The following is a 20311-nucleotide window of genomic DNA, read 5'->3' on the forward strand; positions in this document are numbered from 1 at the left end:
TTATCTTTCTTCATCAACTGTAAAGCTAAATGGTTTAAGATTTTTCTCCCTAATGTAGGTGTTTATAGCTATAAACTTGCCTCTTAGAATTGCTCTTCCTGCATCTCATTAAGTTTTGCTATGTTGTGTTTTCATTTTTGTTTGCCTCAGGATATTTATGTTACCTTTTTGGCTTCTTCTTTGATCTATTGGTTATTCAGGAATGTGTTGTTTAATGTCCTTACATTATATATTCCGTACAGAAGTTATGAATTCTTCAAATTTCCTCCTGTTATGGATTTCTAGTTTCATAATATTGTGGCCAGGAAAGACACTTGATATGATTTCACTCTTGAATTTGTTAAGACTTCTTTTGTGGCCTAACATATGATTTTTTTCCTGGAGAATGTTTCATATACACTGGAGTAGAATGTGTATTCTGCTGCTGTTGAATGAAGTGTTCTATATATGTTTGTTAGGTCTATTTGATCTAAAGTCTGGTTCAAGATCAATGTTTCCTTATATTTTTCTGTCTGATTGATCTATGATTATTGACAGTGGAGTATTACAGTCTCCTACTAACATTGTATTGCTGTTTCTTTCTTTTTTCAGTTCTGTTAGTATTTGCTTTAGTTATTTAGATGTTGCAGTGCTGTATGCAAAAATATTTACAGTTGTTGTATCCTCTTGATGAACTGTCCCCTTTATCTTTATATATTGATCTTCTGTATCTCTTGTGGCCATTTTTTACTTAATGTATATTTCATTTGGTATAAATATAGTCACCTCTGCTGTCTTTTGGTCACTTTTTGCATGGAATATCTTTTTTCATCCCTTCACCTTCAGCCTACCTGTGTTCTTAGAGCTAAAAGGAGTCTCTCTCTCTCTTTTTTTTTCCTTTGGCAGAGTCTCACTCTGTCACCCAGGTTGGAGTGCAGTGGTGCTATCTCGGCTTATTGCAACCTCTGCCTCCCGGGTTCAAGCAATTCTCCTGCCTCAGCCTCCCGAGTAGCTGGGATTACAGGTACCTGCCACCACACCCGGCTAATTTTTATATTTTTAGTAGAGACGGGGTTTCACTATGTTGGCCAGGCTGGTCTCGAGCTCCCGACCTCAAGTGATCATCCGCCTGGGCCTTCCAAAGTGCTGGGATTACAGGTGTGAGCCACTGCGCCCAACCTAAAATGAGACTCTTCTATGCAGCAGATTGTTTGATATTGTGGGGTTTTTTTTAATCCATTCAGTCACTCTATTTCTTTTGATTAGAGAATTTAATTCATTTATTGATAGGTAAGAACTTACTATTGCCACTTTGCTAATTGTGTTCTGACAGCTTTGTAGTACTTTTTTTCTTTCTTTTTTTCTTGTTGCCTTCCTTTGTGATTTGATCACTTTTGAAATGATATACTTTGATTCCTTTCTCTTAATCTTATCTACTACAGGTTTCTACTTAGTGGTTACTATGAGGCTTACATAAAATATTTTATAGCTATACCATCCTATTTTAAGCCAACAACTTCAAACACATACAAAACTCTACACTTTTACTTCTCCCCTCCCTCACATTTCAGTCAATTGATGTTACAATTTACATACTTTTTATATTCTGTCTCCAATAACAAATTACTATATTAGTACATTCTCACACTGCTCTAAAGAACTACCTGAGGCCAGCTGCAGTGGCTCACGCCTGTAATCCCAGCACTTTGAGAGGCCGAGGTGGGTGGATCACTTGAGGTCAGGAGTTTGAGATCAGCCTGGCCAACATAGTGAAACCCTGTCTCTACTAAAACTACAAAAATTAGCCAGGCGTGGTGGCATGTGCCTGTAGTCCCAGCTACTCGGGAGGCTGAGACAGGAGAATCACTTAAACCCAGGAGGCAGTGAGCCAAGATAGCACCATTGCACTCCAGCCTGGTTGACAGAGCAAAAGCAAGACTCTGTCTCAAAAAAAATAAATAAATAAAAAATAAAATAGAAGTACCTGAGACTGTGTAATTTATAAAGAAAAGAGGTTTAATTGACTCAGTTCCACAGGCTGTACAGGAGGCATGGCTGGGGAGGCCTCAGAAAACTTACAATCATGGTGGAAGGGCGAAGGGGAAGCAAGCACGTCTTCAAATGGTGACAGAAGAGAAAGAGACTGAAGGGAGAAGTGCTACACACTTTTTTTTTTTTTTGAGACGGAGTCTCGCTCTGTCGCCCAGGCTGGAGTGCGGTGGCGCGATCTCAGCTCACTGCAAACTCCACCTCCCAGGTTCATGCCATTCTCCTGCCTCAGCCTCCCGAGTAGCTGGGACTACAGGCGCCCGCCACCACACCCAGCTATTTTTTTGTATTTTTAGTAGAGACAGGGTTTCACTGTGTTAGCCAGGATGGTCTCGATCTCCTGACCTCATGATCCACCCACCTCGGCCTCCCAAAGTGCTGGGATTACAGGCGTGAGCCACCACGCCTGGCCGAGAAGTGCTACACACTTTTAAACTAGATCTCATAAGAACTCACTGTCACAAGAACAGCAAGGGGGAAATGCACCCCCATGATCCAGTTCCTCCCACCAGGGCCCTCCCCCAACACTGGGGATTACAATTCAACATGAGATTTCAGTGGGGACATGGAGCCAACTATATTAATTGCTATAGATATAATTATTTTTAATAGTTTGTTTTTTAACTTTTATACCAGAATTGAAAGTGACTTATGCACAATCATTACAATATTAGAGATTTCTGACTTTGACTGTATATTTACCTTTACTGGTAAGATTTTGTATATTTATATATTGTTATGCTGTGAATTAGTACCATCTCATTTCAGCTTGAAGAACCCCTCTAGCATTTCTTGCAAGACAGGTCTAGTGATGATGGATTCCTTTAGCTTTTGTTTGTTTGGAAAGGTTTTTATCTCTCCTTCACTTCTGAAGGACAGCTTTACCAGGTATAACATTCTTGGTCAGTAGAGTTTCTATTCTTTCAGCATTTTGAACATATCACCCTAATCTCTCCTGGGCTGAGAGGAGGAGGTTTCTGCCGAGAAATTTGCTGCTAGTCTTATGAGAGCTCTCTTATATGTAATGAGTTATATTTTCCTTGCTGCTTTCAAAATATTGTCTTTATCTTTTGATAATTTAATTATAATATTTCTTGATGTCAAATTTTATTGTTCAGTCTGCTTGGGCACCTTTCAGCCCAGTGAATCTAGATGTTCATTTCTCTCCCCAAATGTGGAAAGTTTCCAGCCATTACTTCTCTAAATGTACTTTCTGTTCATTTTCTCTCTCTTTTCTCCTTCAGTAATTCCCATAATTTGTATGTTGTTTTACTTGATGGTGTCCCATAAATCCCATAGGCTTTTTTTAATTCATTTTTATTCTTTGCTATTTTTGCTCCTCTGAGTAAATAATATCAAATGACCTATCTTTGAGTTCACTTAGTCTTTCTTCTGCTTGATTGAGTCATCTGTTAAAGCTCTCTATTAAATTCTTCCATCCAGTCATTGTATTTTTCAGATCTAGGATTTCTGGCTTTTTAAAAATGGTTCCTGTTCCTTTTTGGCATTATAATTTTGTTTATATATTGTTTTCTAATTTTGTTGAGTTGTCTATCTGTGTTTACTTATAGTTCACTGAACTTTTTAAAGAGAATTATTCTGAATTATATGTCAGTAAGTTCACAGATTATTATTTCTTTAGAGTCAGTTATTAGAGCATATTCGTTTATTTTAGTGATATTATTTTTTCCTGATTCTTTATGATCCATGCATCCTATCATTGGTGTCTGCACATTTGAGGAAACAATAACCTCTTCCAGGCTTTATAAGTTTGTTTCGGCAGGGAAAGCCCTTCACTAGTCAGTCCAGCCTGGAGTTCTGGGCAGGTCAGCTGGTAGCATCCATGGACAGGCAGAGCTTGCTGTTGAGATCTCCAGCTGGGTCAGATCATTGCCTGTGCTCTGAGGTTGGGTAAGGCCACTGCTGCTCTCTATGGTTGTTTGGATGTTTTGACTGGACCCTTTTGTTGGGCAGCGGCTAACGGCCAGGCTCTAAGATGGGACAAGGCCTTAAGCTACTGTTAGGTATGGTCACAGGCTGGGCTCTGTGATTAGGCAGGGTTGAAGACTGTGTTCCACAGTTGGGTGTTGCCACTGGATTAGTTATTCTCCAGAGTAGGGCCACTGGCTGTGCTTCAAACTTTATCAGAGTTGCTACCAGGTGCCCAGGTTCAGTGGGACCACAGAATATGCCCCTCCCTTAGGTCCTTGCTACAAGCTGGGCTCATCAGGAAGGTAGCATAAATTTCTGGAATCCCTGTTCAGGCAAAGCTGCAAGTTGTGCCCCACAGTTCAGAAGTGTCACTGGCTGGGCTGAGTGATTGGGTAGGACCACAGGCTACGTTCTACATTTGGACAGGGTGACTTGTTCTACTCCCTGCCTGGGCATGGCCATAGGCTGGGATCTCTGGTTGCTTGGGGCCCCAAAGCTGTGCCCACCATTGAGAGAGGTCATTGGCTTGGTTTCCTGCCCATGCAGGTCATTGGCTGGGCTTTGTGCCTGGGCAGGGTCTCAATTTGGACTTCCTGGTTAACAGGGTTAGAGACCATACTCTGTAGTTAGGCAGGGTGGCTGGCTTGATTACCTGCCTGGGCAAAGACATATGCTAGGATCTGAGGCTGGGCAGAATTTCTTTGGGGGTTCCCTGGTCAGGCAAGACAGAAACCTAAACGTCTTAGGTGGGCTGGGCTGCTGGCTAGGCACCCAAGCTACTTAGAACTGCTGACCATGCTACCTGGCCAAATAGGGCCACCAGCTTGCCTCTGCAGGTGGACAGAGCTGCTGGCTGAGCTCTCTGATAGGGTGCTGATGTCAGGAGCACAGTACCAGCATGACAATCTCTGCATTGGCCACTGTGAGCCCTGCCCTCACTTCTTCATTTCTAATCAAACCCAGGTGGTCCAGCCCCTCTGATTTCCTGTTTGTTTCCCATGAGGCAAGACAGAATTGGGCCTCCTAAGAAGCAGCCCAGAATGCCAGGGAAGCTGGGTGTCCTCCTCAGGCTCTGTTTTCCCCACTGGAGAAACCTTAGGCTCAGGGAAAACCTCTTGGTGTGGTGCTGTGCCAGCCTGGGGTAGGAGCAACACAGTCAAAGTGAATCCATTCCTCTTACCCCTTCTAATGTGGTTTTTCTCAGGTTTTGTGGTCCAAGGGAGGTGGTTCAGCTTCACTCTTGGGTTCTGAAATTTTCACAAAGGCATCCTTGTCTATGGATAGTTGCTACTTAGTCTTTCTGTGAGAGAGACTAAAGCCAGAAACCTCCTATTCTGCCATCTTAGTGACATCCCATCCTGGATGTGCCTTTTAAATCTAAGGTTCTAGCTTCAGCTCTGGAAGACTATTTTTTTTTACTTGATTTCCCTATTCTCTTTCTTTCTATTCTCTTCTGGAATTCCCCTTGGCAGAATGTTGAAACATCCTATGCAGTTTAACCTTCTTTTTTCACATTTTCCATATCTTTCCCTGCCTATATTCCAGAAAGAAAAATGTGGCTCACTAAGTTACTCTTCAACTGAGTCTATTCTGCACACCCACCTTTATTTTTTAACAGCTTTAATGAGGTATAATTTACATACTGTAAAATTCTCCTGTTTTAAGTGTGTATCTCAATGATTTTTAACAGAATTACAGAGTTGTGCAACCATCATCACAATCCAAGTGTAGAATATTTTCACTACCCTTAAAAGCTTCTTCATGACTATTTGGGATCAATTCCTGCTCCTATTCTCCAGCCCTAGGCAACCATCAATATACTTTCTATCTCTGTAGTTTTCCCTTTCCTGGCCATTTCATGTAAATGGACCATATATTATACGGTCTTTTACATCTGGGTTATTTCATCGAACGTAATATTTTGAAGTTCATCCATGTTTTAGCATGTGTTTATATTTTGTTCCTTTTTCTTGCTGAATTGTATTCCATTATATGGCTCTATCAATGGTATTTTTTCATTTGCCAGTCAATGGAAATTTGGATTGTTTTTATTTTTTGACTATTATGAATAATGCTGTCCTGGGTATTTGCATACAAGCCTTTGTGTGGATATACATGTTCGTTTCTAGGTAGATATTTAGGAGTGAAACTATTGGGTTCTATAGTAGCATTATGTTTCACTTTTTTCAAATCTGTCTTACAGTGTTTCCGAAAGACCATTTTACAGCAATGTATAAGGGTTCAAGTTTTGCTAAAATTTGTTATTTTATGTCTTTGTAGTCATTCCAGTGAATATATTTTGGTATTTTGTTGTGGTTTGATTTGCTTTTCTCTAATAATGAATGCTACTGAACATCTTTTCACATGTTTTTATTTTTCATATGTCTTTTGGAGAAATATCTGTTCAAATCATTTGTCCATTTTTAATTGGCTTGTCTTCTTATTGAGTTGTCAGAATTCTTTACATATCTGAATACAAGTAGTTTATTAAAAATATGATTGGCTAATATTTTCTCCCAGACTGTGACTAATCTTTTCTTTCTCTTTATGGTATATTTGAGGCACAAAAGATTTAAATTTTGTTAAATTTTAACATCATTTATTCTCTTATGATTATACTTTTGTGGTAGCTAATTCTTTGTCTTACCTAAAGTCACAAAGATTTTTCCTGTGTTTTCTTCCAAAAGTCTTATCATTTTTGCTGTTTTACAAGACTACTGCATAATTTGGGAAACGCAGTGAAAAATGAAAATGGGGGGATCCTTGTTCAAAAATTATTAAGGATTTCAAAACAGTGAAAGCAGAACACTAAACTAAGCACAGAGTCTTTTGTGACTGCACAGGATGCATGCCCATAAAGCCATCCCTGCTTTTACATTTAGAGATGCATGATCCATTTTGAGTTGATTTATGCATATGGTGTGAGGTAAGGGTCTAATTTCATATTTTTGCATGTGCCTATCCAGTTATACTAGTACTATTTGTTGAAAAGACTATCTTTTCCTCATTTAATTGCCTTGGCACTTTTGTTGAAAATCAATTGACCAAAAACCTAAGGATTTATTTCTGCACTCTCAGTTCTGTTGTATTGATTTTTATATATATTTATGCCAGTACTGTCTTGATTCATGCAGCTTTATAGTAAGTGTTGAAATCACAAAGTATAAGTCTTCCAACTTTTTTCTTCTTTTTCAAGACTGTTTTGGATATTCTGGGTTCTTTGCAATTCCATGTAAATTTTAGGATCAGCTTCTCAATTTCTGCAAAAGGCCATTGGAGATTTTGATAGGAATCATACTGAGTCTCTAGATCAATTTGGAGAGAATTACCATGTTAAACATATTGAGTCTTTCAATCCATGAACATTGGCATCACTATTTTGATCTTTAATTTCTCTCATCAATGTTTTGCCATTTTCAACATACAAGTCTTGCATTCTGTTTGTTCAATTTATTTTTAAATGTTTTATTATTTTGCCTACCTTTATTTTTGAATTTGCAAACTCGACTTTTAAATTCCTAAGTTTCCTAGTTGGTTGAATATTATTCATAACTTATTCAATATTATTGAATAATATTGACCTAATATTGAGTCATAGACTTTTGAGTAAGTATATTTAATAACCCCATAACTTATTAGGTCTCAATATTATTAAATAAGTTATGGGGTTATTAAATATACTTACTCAAAATCTTGTTCTGTTTACTGTATTATTTCTTTTCTCTGATATTACCTAAAAAATGGTAAAAGAAAGATCTGAAGGGACCTGGTTAGAACCCTGAAACTGTCCACTAAGCCAGTGTTGACACCTGGGGTGTAGTGGTTCCATGCCTTCCCTAACATTTATTCTGAATTTTATATACAAATGAAAGACTTTTTTAGTTTAATTTATATAAAAATTAGATCATAATATATTGATCTAAACATGATGTTTTCACTGAACAACAAAACTATGACTGTCTATCCAAATTACTAGAATTAAATAGCTATGTAATAGTTCAACAGTGTATATTTACAATAATGTACTTAACCAGTCAGCTGAATACACAATTAGGTTGTTTTCAGGTTGAGGAGTATGTGTTATTGTTGAGGGGTTTTTGCTGGTAAAAACAATGCTTCAACAAAAATTTTGCATTTATGAGCATCTAATCAACAAATATTTATGGAACACCTTGTATATATCAGATACTCAAGAAAAATCAGTGGACAAAACAGACAAAATCTCTGCCCTCATGGCATATATATTTTTGGGGGAAAAGAGACAATAAAGAATATGATAAACAATAAATACACAAATAAGTAATTCATTTAGCATGTTAGGGAGTAGTAAGGGCATGAGAAAAAAAAATAGAGGCAGATTAGGAGCTTGGGAGTGTGGGGGCAGGCTAAGGGGATTGTGATTGTGATTTTTAGATAGGTTGGTCAAAGCAGGCCTCATTGAGAAGGTGATAGTGAAGCAAGGATCTAAAAGAGACAAGGGAGTTAGTTCACTACATAGATATATGTGTCTATGCTAAGTAGAGAAAATAGCCAGTATCAAGTCCCTAAGGCTAGAGAATCTCTGGTGTAGTCAAGAAACAGCAGAGGCGAGTGTGGCCCGACAGACATGAGCAAAAGGAGAGGAGCAAAGGATGTATCATTTCAGACCCTTTGAACAGTGTAAGGATCTGGCTTTCACTCATGAAGAAATTGGGAGCATTGAAAGTTCTGCAGTTCTTGTTTTTATAAGATGGATGTTGTCTTTTTATTTCTATACGATAGATTCCAAAAGTGGATCTGCATGGTCAGTCTGTAGTATATCTTAAAATTTAGTAGATGTTGCCACATCTTTTCTGAAAAGGCTGTAGTAATTCATGCTTACACCAGGGATGAGTAAGTGTCTGTTTTTCTGAATCTTCTCCCTCGTGACATAGTGTCACTAATGAAATTGTGTTTGCCAATCTAATGGGTGAGAAATGGTTTCTCATTGATATTTTAGTTTTTATGTATTCATATGTTTATTAGACATTTTCATTTTCTCTTATTTAAGCTGCCTGTTCAGGTCCATTTTGGAGGAGTTATTTGTTGCTTTTTATTAATAGACTGTAGTCTTTGCCCATTAATATCAGATATATTAACCCTTTGTCATATATATTGAAAATGCTTTTCTACACTCTTTTATATCTGTATTGCTTTTTAAAAACATTTTAACCTATTAAGAGAAATCTTCCTTTAACTATTCTCTTCTCAAATGTTTTTTGTCTGACTCAGATATTTGTTCTGTCATTTAAATATTTACATTATTTGATTCAGCTTTTTTTCCAACTTTTATTTAAGTTCGGGGGTACATGTGCAGGATATGCAGATTTGTTACACAGGCAAAAGTGTGCCATGGTGATTCGCTGTGTGATTCATTCCATCACACAGGTGTTAAGACAAGCATTCACTAGCTCTTCTTCCTGATCCTCTCCCTCCTCCCAGCCCCCACCCTCTGAAACACCCAAGTGTGCATTGTTCCTCCTGTGTCCATGTGTTCTCATCATTTAGCTCCCACTTATAAGTGAGAACATGCAGTCAGCACTATTCACAATAGCAAAAACATGGAATCAACCTAAATCGCCATCAATTATAGACTAGAGAAAGAAAATGTGGTACATATACACTATGAAATACTATGCAGCCATAAAAAAGGAATGAGATCATGTCCTTTGCAGGGACATGGATGAAGCTGGAGGCCATTATCCTTAGCAAACTAATGCAGGAATATTTTATCCAGTTTCAATGGGGTTCCAGGTTGCAAGTGCACTATACTTACATAATAATTTCAGAATAATGGATGTTTTAAAACTACTACCTTTTTTGTAATTGGAGGCCTTTCATAATCTCTGTTTATTTAGATCTTATTTAATTTTCTTCAATAAGATTTTTATAGTTTTCTTCATACAAGTCTCATACCTTTCAGATGTTTATAAATACATACATTTGTATTTGCTATTGAGTCTGAGTATTTTTTTCAATGTATGTCGTTCCAAATAAAAGCTATAAGTTTTATATATCTATTTTCTATTCATACTCTCATATGGTTTTGCTGTGTCCCCACCCAAAATCTCATCTTGAATTGTAATCCCCGTAATCTCCAGGTGTTAAGGGAGAGACCAGATGGAGGTAATTGAATCATGGGGCAATTTCACCCATTCTGTTCTCATGATAATGAGTGAGTTCTCATGAGATCTGATGGTATAAGGGCCTCTTCCGCCTTCACCTGGCACTTCTCCTTCCTGCTGCCTTGTGAAGAAGGTGCCTTGGTTCCCCTTCGCCTTCCACCATGATTGTAAGTTTCTTGAGGCCTATCCAGCCACACTGAACTGTAAGTCAATTAAACCTCTTTCCTTTATAAATTACCCAGTCTCGAGCAGTTCTTTATAGCAGTGTGAAAATGGACTAATATATACTCCTTGGTAAATTCTTTTTCTAGTTCTTATGAATTTTATTAGGTCTATAGGTTTCCTACATATATAATTATAGAACATATTGTACACTATTTTAGTATTCCTACCAATTATTTTATTTTCATGTCCTATTGCATTAGCTAAAGCTTCTAAAATATGTATATGTGAACACATATGTATATGTGTATACACACACATATATGTGTATACACACACGCATATATGTGTATACACACAAGTGTATACACACACGCATATATGTGTATACACACACATATATATGTGTATACACACACATATATATGTGTATACACACACACACATATATATGTAAAAGACCGTGGTAATGGTAGACATCCCCATATTGTTTTCTATTTAAATGACTTCACCATTAATGTTTACTACAACATTTGCTGATTTTAGAGACTTCATTTTGTGTTAGTTTTTATTTCATAGTTTTAATTTTTAAAAAATAACTGCTAGGACTTATCAAATTCCCTTTTAAACCCATTCATGAATAGGTTTAAATACGTTTTCTCCTTTTATTTATTGGTATAAAATTGTAGAGACTTTCTAAAGTTGAACTATTTTTTTGTTTCATTCAATCTCATTGTCATTGGTTTTCTCTTTCTTCTTGGTTCTAAATAACCTCTAACTACAAGTTTTATTTCATCTTTGATCCAACACAGTGCATTTTCTTTTGTTTTCTAAAATCTTAAGTAATTTATTTTCTATATGAAGTCTGTTTCACTTCTAGTGATTATAACTTTTTGTGACTTCTTTTGTGGCTAAGATTATGCTGAATATTGATATATATTTCAAGGGTATTGAGAAATATGTGTTCTCTGTTTTTTCTTTGTTTTTTTTGTTTTGTTTTGTTTTGTTGTTGTTGTTGTTTGGGACAGAGTCTTGCTCTGTCACCCAGGCTGGAGTGCAGAGGCTCACTGCATCCTCCACCTCCCAGGTTCAAGCAATTCTCCTGCCTCAGCCTCCCGAGTAGCTGGGATTACAGGCATGCACCACCATGCCTGGCTAATTTTTGTATTTTTAGTGAGATGGGATTTCACTATGTTGGTCAGGCTGGTCTTGAACTCCTGACCTCGTGATCCGCCCGCCTCAGCCTCCTAAAGCTCTGGGATTACAGGCATGAGCCACTGCGCCCAGCCGTGTTCTCTGTTTTTAAGTCACAAGATTAAATATTAAATCACTCATTAATTTATCCAGAGCCTGTATACTTTGTCCATTTTTGTATATGTAAAGAATCAAAAAACAGGGGTGAATTGTTTTTCAATGCCTGTAAAACATTTGTCTCATGATTTGTTTCTTGAATTTTGATTTGACATTAAATGGGAACAGTCTTGCTTTTTGTTTTATTTACAGTTGCATACCATAACTTGCTGATTTTCAATTTCAACATTTTTTGTGTCATTTTTTCTTAGTTGTGTCTTTAGTTGGATTCTCTTTGATTCCAGTCAATATCGATATCATCAATATTGATGATTCTTTTTCAATATTATTAATATTGCCTTTCAATATCATTTTTCTTTTACATTCTGTTTAAATAATTTTTCATACTTTTTCCATTTTGTCTTTATTTCATTTCAGTAGTTTTGGGGGAACAGGTGGTTTTGGTTACATAGATAAGTTCATTAGTGGTGATTTCTGAGATTTTGGTGCATCTGTCACCCAAGCAGTGTACACTGAACTCAATGTGTATTCTTTTATCTGTCACTCCCCTCCCACCCTTTCCCCTGAGTCCCCAAGGTCCATTGTATCATTCTTATGCCTTTGCATTCTCATAGCTTAACTCCCACTAATAAGTGAGAACATAACGATACTTGGTTCCATTCCTGAGTTGCTTCACTTAGAATAATGGTCTCCAACTCCATCCAGGATGCTGAGAACGCCATTATTGCATTCCTTTTTATGGCTGAGTAGTACTCCATGGTGTATATATATACACACACACACACACACACACACACACACACACACACATATGGTATATATATATGTGTATACATGTATATGTGTATATATACATATATATATCACATTTCTTTATCTACTCATTGATTAGTGGGCATTTAGGCTTGTTCCACATTTTCTCAATTGCTAATTGTGCTGCTATAAACGCGTGTGCAAATGTCTTTTTCATATCATGACTTATTTTCCTCTAGGTAGAGACCCAGTAGTGGGATTGCTGGATCAAATGATAGTTCTTTAAGGAATCTTTATACTGTTTTCCACAGCAGTTGTAATAGTTTACATTCCCACCAGCAGTGTAAAAGTGTTCCCTTTTCACCACATCCACGCCAACATCTATCATGTTTTTATTTTTTAATTATGGTCTTTCTTGCAGAAGTAAGGTGGTATCGCATTGTGGTTTTGATTTGCATTTCCCTGATAATTAGTGATGTTGAGAATTTTTTCATATATTTCTTGGCCATTTGCATATCTTCTTTTGAGAATTGTCTATTCATATCCTTTGCCCACTTTTTGATAAGATTATCTGAATTTTTTCTTGCTGATTTGTTTGAGTTATTTATAGATTCTGGAATTTTTGCTTAGTCTTGCTTTGGCAATGTGGGCCCTTTTTTGATTCCATATGAATTTTAGGATTGTTTTTTCTAGTTCTGTGAATAATGATGATGGTGTTTTGATGGGAATTGCATTGAATCTGTAGATTGCTTTTGGGCAGTATGATCATTTTCACAATATTGATTTTACCCATCCATGAGCATGGAATGTGTTTCCATTTGCTTGTGGCATCTGTGATTTCTTTCAGCAGTGTTTTGTAGTTCTCCTCATAGAGATCTTTCACCTCCTTGGTTAGGTATATCCTAAGGTTTTTTGGATTTTTGTTGTTGTTGTTGTTGTTGTTGTTTTGCTTTGTTTTTTTGGTTTATTTTTTATTTATTTATTTTTTTGCAGCTGTTGTAAAAGGGATTTGATTTGATTCTCAGCTTGATCATTGTTGGTGTATAGCAGTGCTACTTATGATTTTGTATCCTGAAACTTAACTGAATTCATTTATCAGATCTATATCTTAGGATACTAATCATATCATTGGTGAACAGTGACTCAAGTTTGACTTCCTCTTTACCGATTAGGATGCCCTTTATTTCTTTCTTTTGTCTGACTGCTCGGGCTAGGACTTCCTGTTTTATCTTTTACAACTCATTGTTTCCCTTGTTTTATCTCTCTAAAAATGCAAACTATGTCTGCTTTTTATTTTTATTTTCAGTGTTACATAAGGTTTTATAAGGTCTGATTTCACTCAATCAGTAGTTATTTTCAAATCTTTTCGAAAGGAAAGAAGGAAGGAAGGAAAGAAAGACGCAGGAATATGTATAAAGGTATAGCAAACATCACACTTAATGGTGCTGCTAAGTGCTTCTTCCTTGAAATTGGAAATAAGGCAAGGAAGTCCACTCTCATCACTTCTCTTCAACATTGTATTCAAACTCCTAACCAGTGAAATGAGACCAAAAAATAGAAATAATTGTTTGGAAAGAAACAGTAAGTCAGTCTATTTGTTCATGATATAATTATTTTCTTTAAAATACAAAGGAAATCTATAAATAATTTACTAGAAATACTACATGAATTTAGCAATGCCATAAATTCATGGTTAATATGTTTCAAACCAATTATATTTTCATATAATAGTAATAAGGAATTTGAAAAGCATTATCATTTAAAGTAACACCAAAACAATAAAATAACTAGGAATAAATTTATTATTTTTTAAATTTAATTAAATTAAATTTTTTATTTCAATAGGTTTTTGGAGAGGAATAAATTTAATGAAAGATGTACATGACTTCTAAAAACTATAAGCAGTGCTGGGTAAAATTAAACACATGTAAGTAAATGGAGAGATATACAATGTTAACAGATTGGAAGCTCAATGTTGTTGTCATCTCCCCCAAATTTATCTGTAGCTTCAATTCAAATCCAAAAAAAAGTCCTAAAGTTTTTTCTTGAAGAAATTGACAAACTGATTTGAAAAGATAATGTATAAAAGCAAAGAATCTAGAAAATCCAAGCCAATCTTTTCTAATTGACTTCAAGACTTTTGTTAAGCCATGATATTTAAGGCAAAATCTTACCAGCATAAGGGTAGACAAATAGATCAATGGTATAGCATAGAAAGTACATATATAAACCCATGCTAATATTGTAAATTGTTTTTTGAATATTTTCATGACCTTGGAGTAGGCAAATATTTCTTAGATAGTACACTAAAGTCATTAATTATAAAAGAAAAAAAAATAAATTGGATTTCATCAAAATTACAGATTTCTTCCCATCAAAAGACATGATTAAGAAAATGAAAGAGAAGCTACAGACTGGGTGAAAATATTCACCATACATAAATCAGACAAAACACTTCTATCCATAATATATTTAAAAAATGCCTACCCATCAATAAGTAAAATTGAATAATATAAATGGGCCAAAGACTTGAACAGACACTTTACAAAAAATAAATTGCCAATTAACACATGAAAATGTGCTTGACATCATTTTATCATTAAAGAAATACAAATTAAAACGAAAATGACATATCACATCACACACACTGGAATGGCTAAAACTAGAAAGGCTATCTCTGATAGTCTTTGAAAAACAGTTTGGCAGGTTCTTAAATGGTTAAATGTACTCTTACACAATGACCAAGCAATTCCACTGCTACATATTTATGCAAGATAAGTGAAAACATCTTGCCACAAAAAGACTTGTACAAGAGCAGCAATTTTATTTATACTAGTCTCAAAGTGGAATCAACTCCAATGACCATGAACAGAAAACTGAATAAGCAGATTGTGGTATATTCACACAATGGAATGCCACTCAACAACAAAAATGAACAAACTACTGTTCAACACATCAACATGAATGATAAGCAAAAGAAGGCAGACACAAAAGCATATATACCTTTTATCCCATTTATACAAAATCCAGTAGCGGGCAGTATTAAGATACGATGGAAAAAATGACAGCAGTGGTTGCCCTGAGAGACTGCCTGGTTGCATATGGTCAGGATGTGGGTTGACGGGCAGGGCACACACTGTTCTGTTCATTTCTCAAATAACACATCAGTTTTTGGCTCTGTGTCTCCCTTCAAATCTCCATTGTTTCTTACAAATTCTGTAGGGCACCATGATTCCTAACCTCTGAAAGCATCCATCCCCTATCTGCTATTGCAACTAGCACTTTTCTGACCACTTTTCACCTTCAAGATTTTACTTGAAATCTCTTATCTGCTCATTGTCCTCTGCCATTCTCTTTGTCATTGTGAATCTAATTCCTTTGTTATCATTTTAGTGATCTTTAACCAGAAACTTTTTTTACAGAAATTCAAAACAATAATGTAACATTATTGTTTCCTGCCTCATGTTAGATACTGGACAGTGCCAATAATTCTCTTCTAGTTGGGAAGGAAGGGCTCATAAATTTTCATAATATTAAGAAATACTGAGATGTTGACTAAAACATTATCAGAGCAATAAAGTAATCAACTAAGAACCAGAATTAGAGATTCAACTTTAAAATTACTTTCATAGGAAACGGCAACAATTTCTGAAATTCAGATGCCTAAAATGATTCACCATATATAGCAATAATACAGAGAGATTGATATTAATACAAAGTAGAATCAGGCATTCTAGGAGATATCATTCATATTCTCATGAAATTCTCAATAATGTGGTCTCATTATTATTATTAAACTGCATTGTATTATTTGTGAATTAATGATGTAGGATTATATTTCTTTCTTAACAGCTACAGATTAGAGAAGGACATGTTATTTTCATCTTTCTCAGATTTGTTTTCTCTCAGTTGATTAAGATGCATATTCAAGGTTAGATTTTATTTTTATTCCATTGTTTTTCATTTCTCTGTGGATGACCTGTTTATTCCACCTAGATTCTGTAGGAATTTAATTTTTATTTCAAAAAATATTCCATATATGGTTAGGTGAAGGTATCTTTACAATGGCTTTGTTCAGTTTAGACAGAACTTTTTCAGTCCTCTATATTAGTTTTTCACAACCTCCATTTCTTCTATTACATCTTTTTTGTTGCTTCAATTGCATTTATTCTGGCCTCTACTGAGGACCACCTAATTTATATATGTTCATTCTTTGTAGCTTGTCCTTTATATGTAAACTCTTACAGCCTCCACAAACATCTCAGAATCTTGATGACCATTTTCACATGGTGTCCTTTTTCCCTAGGATGTTCACGGAAGACCAGGGTGTAGATGACAGGCTGCTCTATGACATTGTATTCAAGCACTTCAAAAGAAATAAGGTGGAGATTTCAAATGCAATAAAAAAGACATTTCCATTCCTCGAGGGCCTCCGTGATCGTGATCTCATCACAAATAAAATGTTTGAAGTAAGTAAAGTTTATTATGTCACAATCTGGTAAAGCAGCCCCAAAATAAGTTATGCTTTGATATCCTAGACCAAAACTTCAGGGTACAATTTGCTAACTGACAGGTCTCCTATGAGTGGGGAACTTTTTCAAGTGTTTCTGTAAGTGCTCCTGTAAAGTAGAAAAGGAGAGGAGAAGCAGAGGTCGCCGGAGATGGTCCCACTTCCAGCCGAGGAAATGGTGTTCCATGGTGTCCTCTGGAGTTGGAGTGAATGGTACTGGAGAAACTGGAACGGAAACAGGTGTTCTCCATAAATGTACAATGTTTTGTAGAATTCGTACACTATAACATAAACTAAAACTTAAAAATAATTTTAATGAAGTGATTTACTTGAAATAGCAGTTGACACAGCATTTTCTTCCAGTTAACATCAATTTAAAATGCCTAGATCTGGGAACATTAAAACCCACAGGGAATTGATGTCTAGAGAGGACAAATTTGGAGGTAGATGCTTGTTATTCTTTCTCCAACACATTTGTTTTCTTTTTCTTTCCTTTTTTTTGTGCATTTCTGGAGTCTTGGAATATGGGTAAATTCCACCCATAGGCCCTGTTGGAGATACAGAGCAGCGAGTCATCTCTGGCTATGAATATGCTTCCTCTGTGGCCAAGTTCACAGCAAGGGGAGACTGGTTGCCTGGTTTCCTTGGGCCCTTCAGGCCAAATCAGTCTTGGGGGAAGAGCAGGGGTTGTCCAGCCAACAAAACAGCCACTCATCAATTGCCTGCTACGTCTATCCTAAAAACATATGGATCAGGCTATTAAAGGACTTTGAGCCCACTTTTATCCTTCCAAATTTCCCCTTTTTGCATCTAATGTAAATGAGGGTGAAGCAATCAGGCTCATCAGTGGGCATTTTTAAGGACAAGGGACTTACTTCTTTCATTACTGGCTATACAAATAAGTAAAAATTATAGAACCTCACATGAAAATACCTACGTAGAGAAATTAGAATACAGTAACCATAGAATTCCTTTCTAGAGCTCTTCTGTGACTTGGAAGTCTTTATTTATATTTTCTCCATTCAATATTTTTTAAGGATTCTCAAGATTCTTGTAGAAACCTGGTCCCTGTACAGAGAGTGGTGTACAATGTTCTTAGTGAACTGGAGAAGACATTTAACCTGCCAGTTCTGGAAGCACTGTTCAGCGATGTCAACATGCAGGAATACCCCGATTTAATTCACATTTATAAAGGCTTTGAAAATGGTAATTAGATTTATTATCTACCTTTTTATTTCCAGGGCCAAGTTTTTTCAATAAGTATATACTGATCTCCTACCATGAGTGACATGTTGTGTTGGGCAGTGGGCATAGAGTAGTTAACAAAATAGACATGCCATGAGTCTTCTCTTAGCTCATGGCGTATGGCTATGGTAAAACAAGTACCCGGAGGTCTGCTTCACTGGCCACTTAGACTCACAGGACAACCAGAGCCACACTGGCATCAGATTTACTTAGAAGAGTATAGGATAAGAAACAGAATCCCAACAGGGCAGCTTCTTATCTTCAGTGGGAGCCCTTGCAGTGGTCTACATAGCATCCACCAAATTGACTACTACCTGCCCTGAGTGACAGCTTAGCTGTGGGTGCAGGATCCACCTTGGCTCAGCACCACATGCCTGTGGGAGTGTATGTCTCTTGTAACAACTCCACAGTCACAGCTTTCAGGATGCCCTAAGAGGCAAGCTGAGTTACAAGAGTTATCAATTGAAGGAAGACCACAACTATGGCTTCCCCACAGGTATTTATTGTCCATATATAGTCCCAGTCAACCTGTCATGGGTCATTTCTAACCTCAGTGTTTGCCTAGTAACACTGCAAAAAAGGCTACCTTTATTAGGTTTCCAGAATATGAGCAAGAAAGTTAACCCTGGGTCAAGTTTGCCTTCAGTGAAGCAGAAGTGGTTTTGCTAACCCTTTATCCACAAGGGGTGAAACAAAGATTGACAAAACTGATTACTCTGCCAGGGACTATTTTTGGTGCTATACCAAACTAAAGGTTTCATTCTTGACCTTTTTCCTGAGAATGCATAATTTATACTATTAAAATGGTACACGTTAAAGACGTCCTCCAATTTTTTTTACTTGCCTGGAAAACTTTTTATTCCCACACAGTTTAATCTCAACCCAGTTCTCCAAATAAGAGATAGAGACATCACAAGAAAAATGGGCACATGCTCTGAAGATGGTGGATGCTATGGGAACTGGAATAAAAGTGTGAAAACATGTCTGCAAAACAGGGCAAATTAGATTTGGCTAAATCTGAGAGTGAGAAGCAGTATACAAGTTGACTTAGATCAATTGGAGGAAGATATTGAAAGGCCTGGAATTTAAAGTTAAGGAATTTGAAGTTTACTCGCTAGGCAATCAAGAAATACTGCAGGTTTATAAACAAGGAAAGAAGTGTAAGCAGTAGTTGTATATGGCTTATTGATTTGTGTCAATACTAACCTTATCTAAATTAATAATAAAATAATTTCTATAGCAAAAATTCAAGTCAGAAAAGGAATAAAAGGAAATCAAATACCTGGGCACAAATTTTGAGTCAATGTTATGTTTGTAAGCAGGATGGTCCAGGCTGCGGGGATGAAGGGAATGGTGCTACCTTTACTGCCCACATTCTCAGGGGCTCTGTTCCTCTCCATGGACTGCAGGGATCCCCCTTCCTAGCTCCAGTGCCCACAACTCACGTCTTAGTTTCTGGCGCTCCTTGTGCTTGGGTGACCTGCCCTGAGGCTCACTGTCACTGACCTGGGACAGCACCACCCACCGCCCCACCCAGCACAGCAAGCCCACCCACCATCAGGGAGATGCTGCTGACTCTCGGACCCTGAAGTCCACACAAGCTGCCCCTGTGTCCTCTGTTATGTTTATTTGAGAACTGTTCATCCTCCCTGACCCAATTAAGACAACATTCTCCTGTTTCTAGCCTCATCTTTAAAGATGTTGAGGTTTTTCTCATTTATTTTTTATTTATTTATGTTTTTTGAGACAGTTCCAATCTGTTGCCCAGGCTGGAGTGCAGTGGCATAATCTCAGCTCACTGCAGCCCCAGCCTCCTGGGCTCTAGTGATCCTCCCCCCTCAGCCTCTTGAGTAGCTGGGACCATAGGTGTGCAACACCACATCCAGCTAATTTTATTTTTCTTTTCAAAGATGAGGTCCAGCTATGTGGCCCAGGCTGGTCTCAAAATCCTGGGCTCAAGCAATCCTCCTGCATCGGCCTCCCAAAGTGCTGTGATTACAGGTGTGAGCCACTGCACGTGGCTGATTTTCTGTGATTACAGGTGTGAGCCACTGCACCTGGCTGATTATAAAAAAGTGGAATCTCTCTAGGACTTGAGACCTTCTCCCCAGGGAATTCCCCAGTTTCTTCCTTACACTTGATATATGCCTACCCTGCCATCTGACAATTTTGAGGGTAACACAGCTCACAATGTTTCCATTACTCCTTTATCCTTAAATCTTGAATG

At 37.0% G+C, this 20311-nt stretch overlaps 1 protein-coding gene and 1 long non-coding RNA gene across 7 annotated transcripts in view, besides 1 other annotated feature; one reads left to right on the forward strand and one right to left on the reverse strand.

Moving 5' to 3' along the window:
* SP100 (SP100 nuclear antigen) overlaps window positions 1-20311 on the forward strand; it is a 129406-nt gene that overhangs the window by 10101 nt on the left and 98994 nt on the right. For 5 of the 6 annotated variants that reach the window (NM_001080391.2, NM_003113.4, NM_001206701.2 and 2 more), the window contains 2 exons: window positions 16636-16798; window positions 17877-18045. In NM_001080391.2, coding sequence (NP_001073860.1) covers window positions 16636-16798; window positions 17877-18045 — 332 coding nt within the window. Of the gene's footprint in view, window positions 1-14174; window positions 14257-16635; window positions 16799-17876; window positions 18046-20311 lie in introns of all 6 variants that reach the window. The other variant, NM_001206704.2, reaches the window with a different exon arrangement.
* Window positions 13383-13432: an enhancer, noted in NCBI's record as "active region_17223". NCBI's record gives its function as "activates an Ori minimal core promoter by ATAC-STARR-seq in GM12878 lymphoblastoid cells {active_cell/tissue: GM12878}" and the evidence as "EXISTENCE:reporter gene assay evidence [ECO:0000049][PMID:35858748]".
* Window positions 15134-20311, reverse strand: part of LOC101928816 (uncharacterized) — a 71871-nt gene continuing 66693 nt past the window's right edge. The window contains exon 4 of the long non-coding RNA XR_427235.4: window positions 15134-17064. This is a non-coding gene — a long non-coding RNA (uncharacterized LOC101928816). The remainder of the gene's footprint in view (window positions 17065-20311) is intronic.

The sequence above is a fragment of the Homo sapiens genome, chromosome 2, assembly GCF_000001405.40.
Source record: "Homo sapiens chromosome 2, GRCh38.p14 Primary Assembly".
Taxonomy (NCBI): domain Eukaryota; kingdom Metazoa; phylum Chordata; class Mammalia; order Primates; family Hominidae; genus Homo; species Homo sapiens.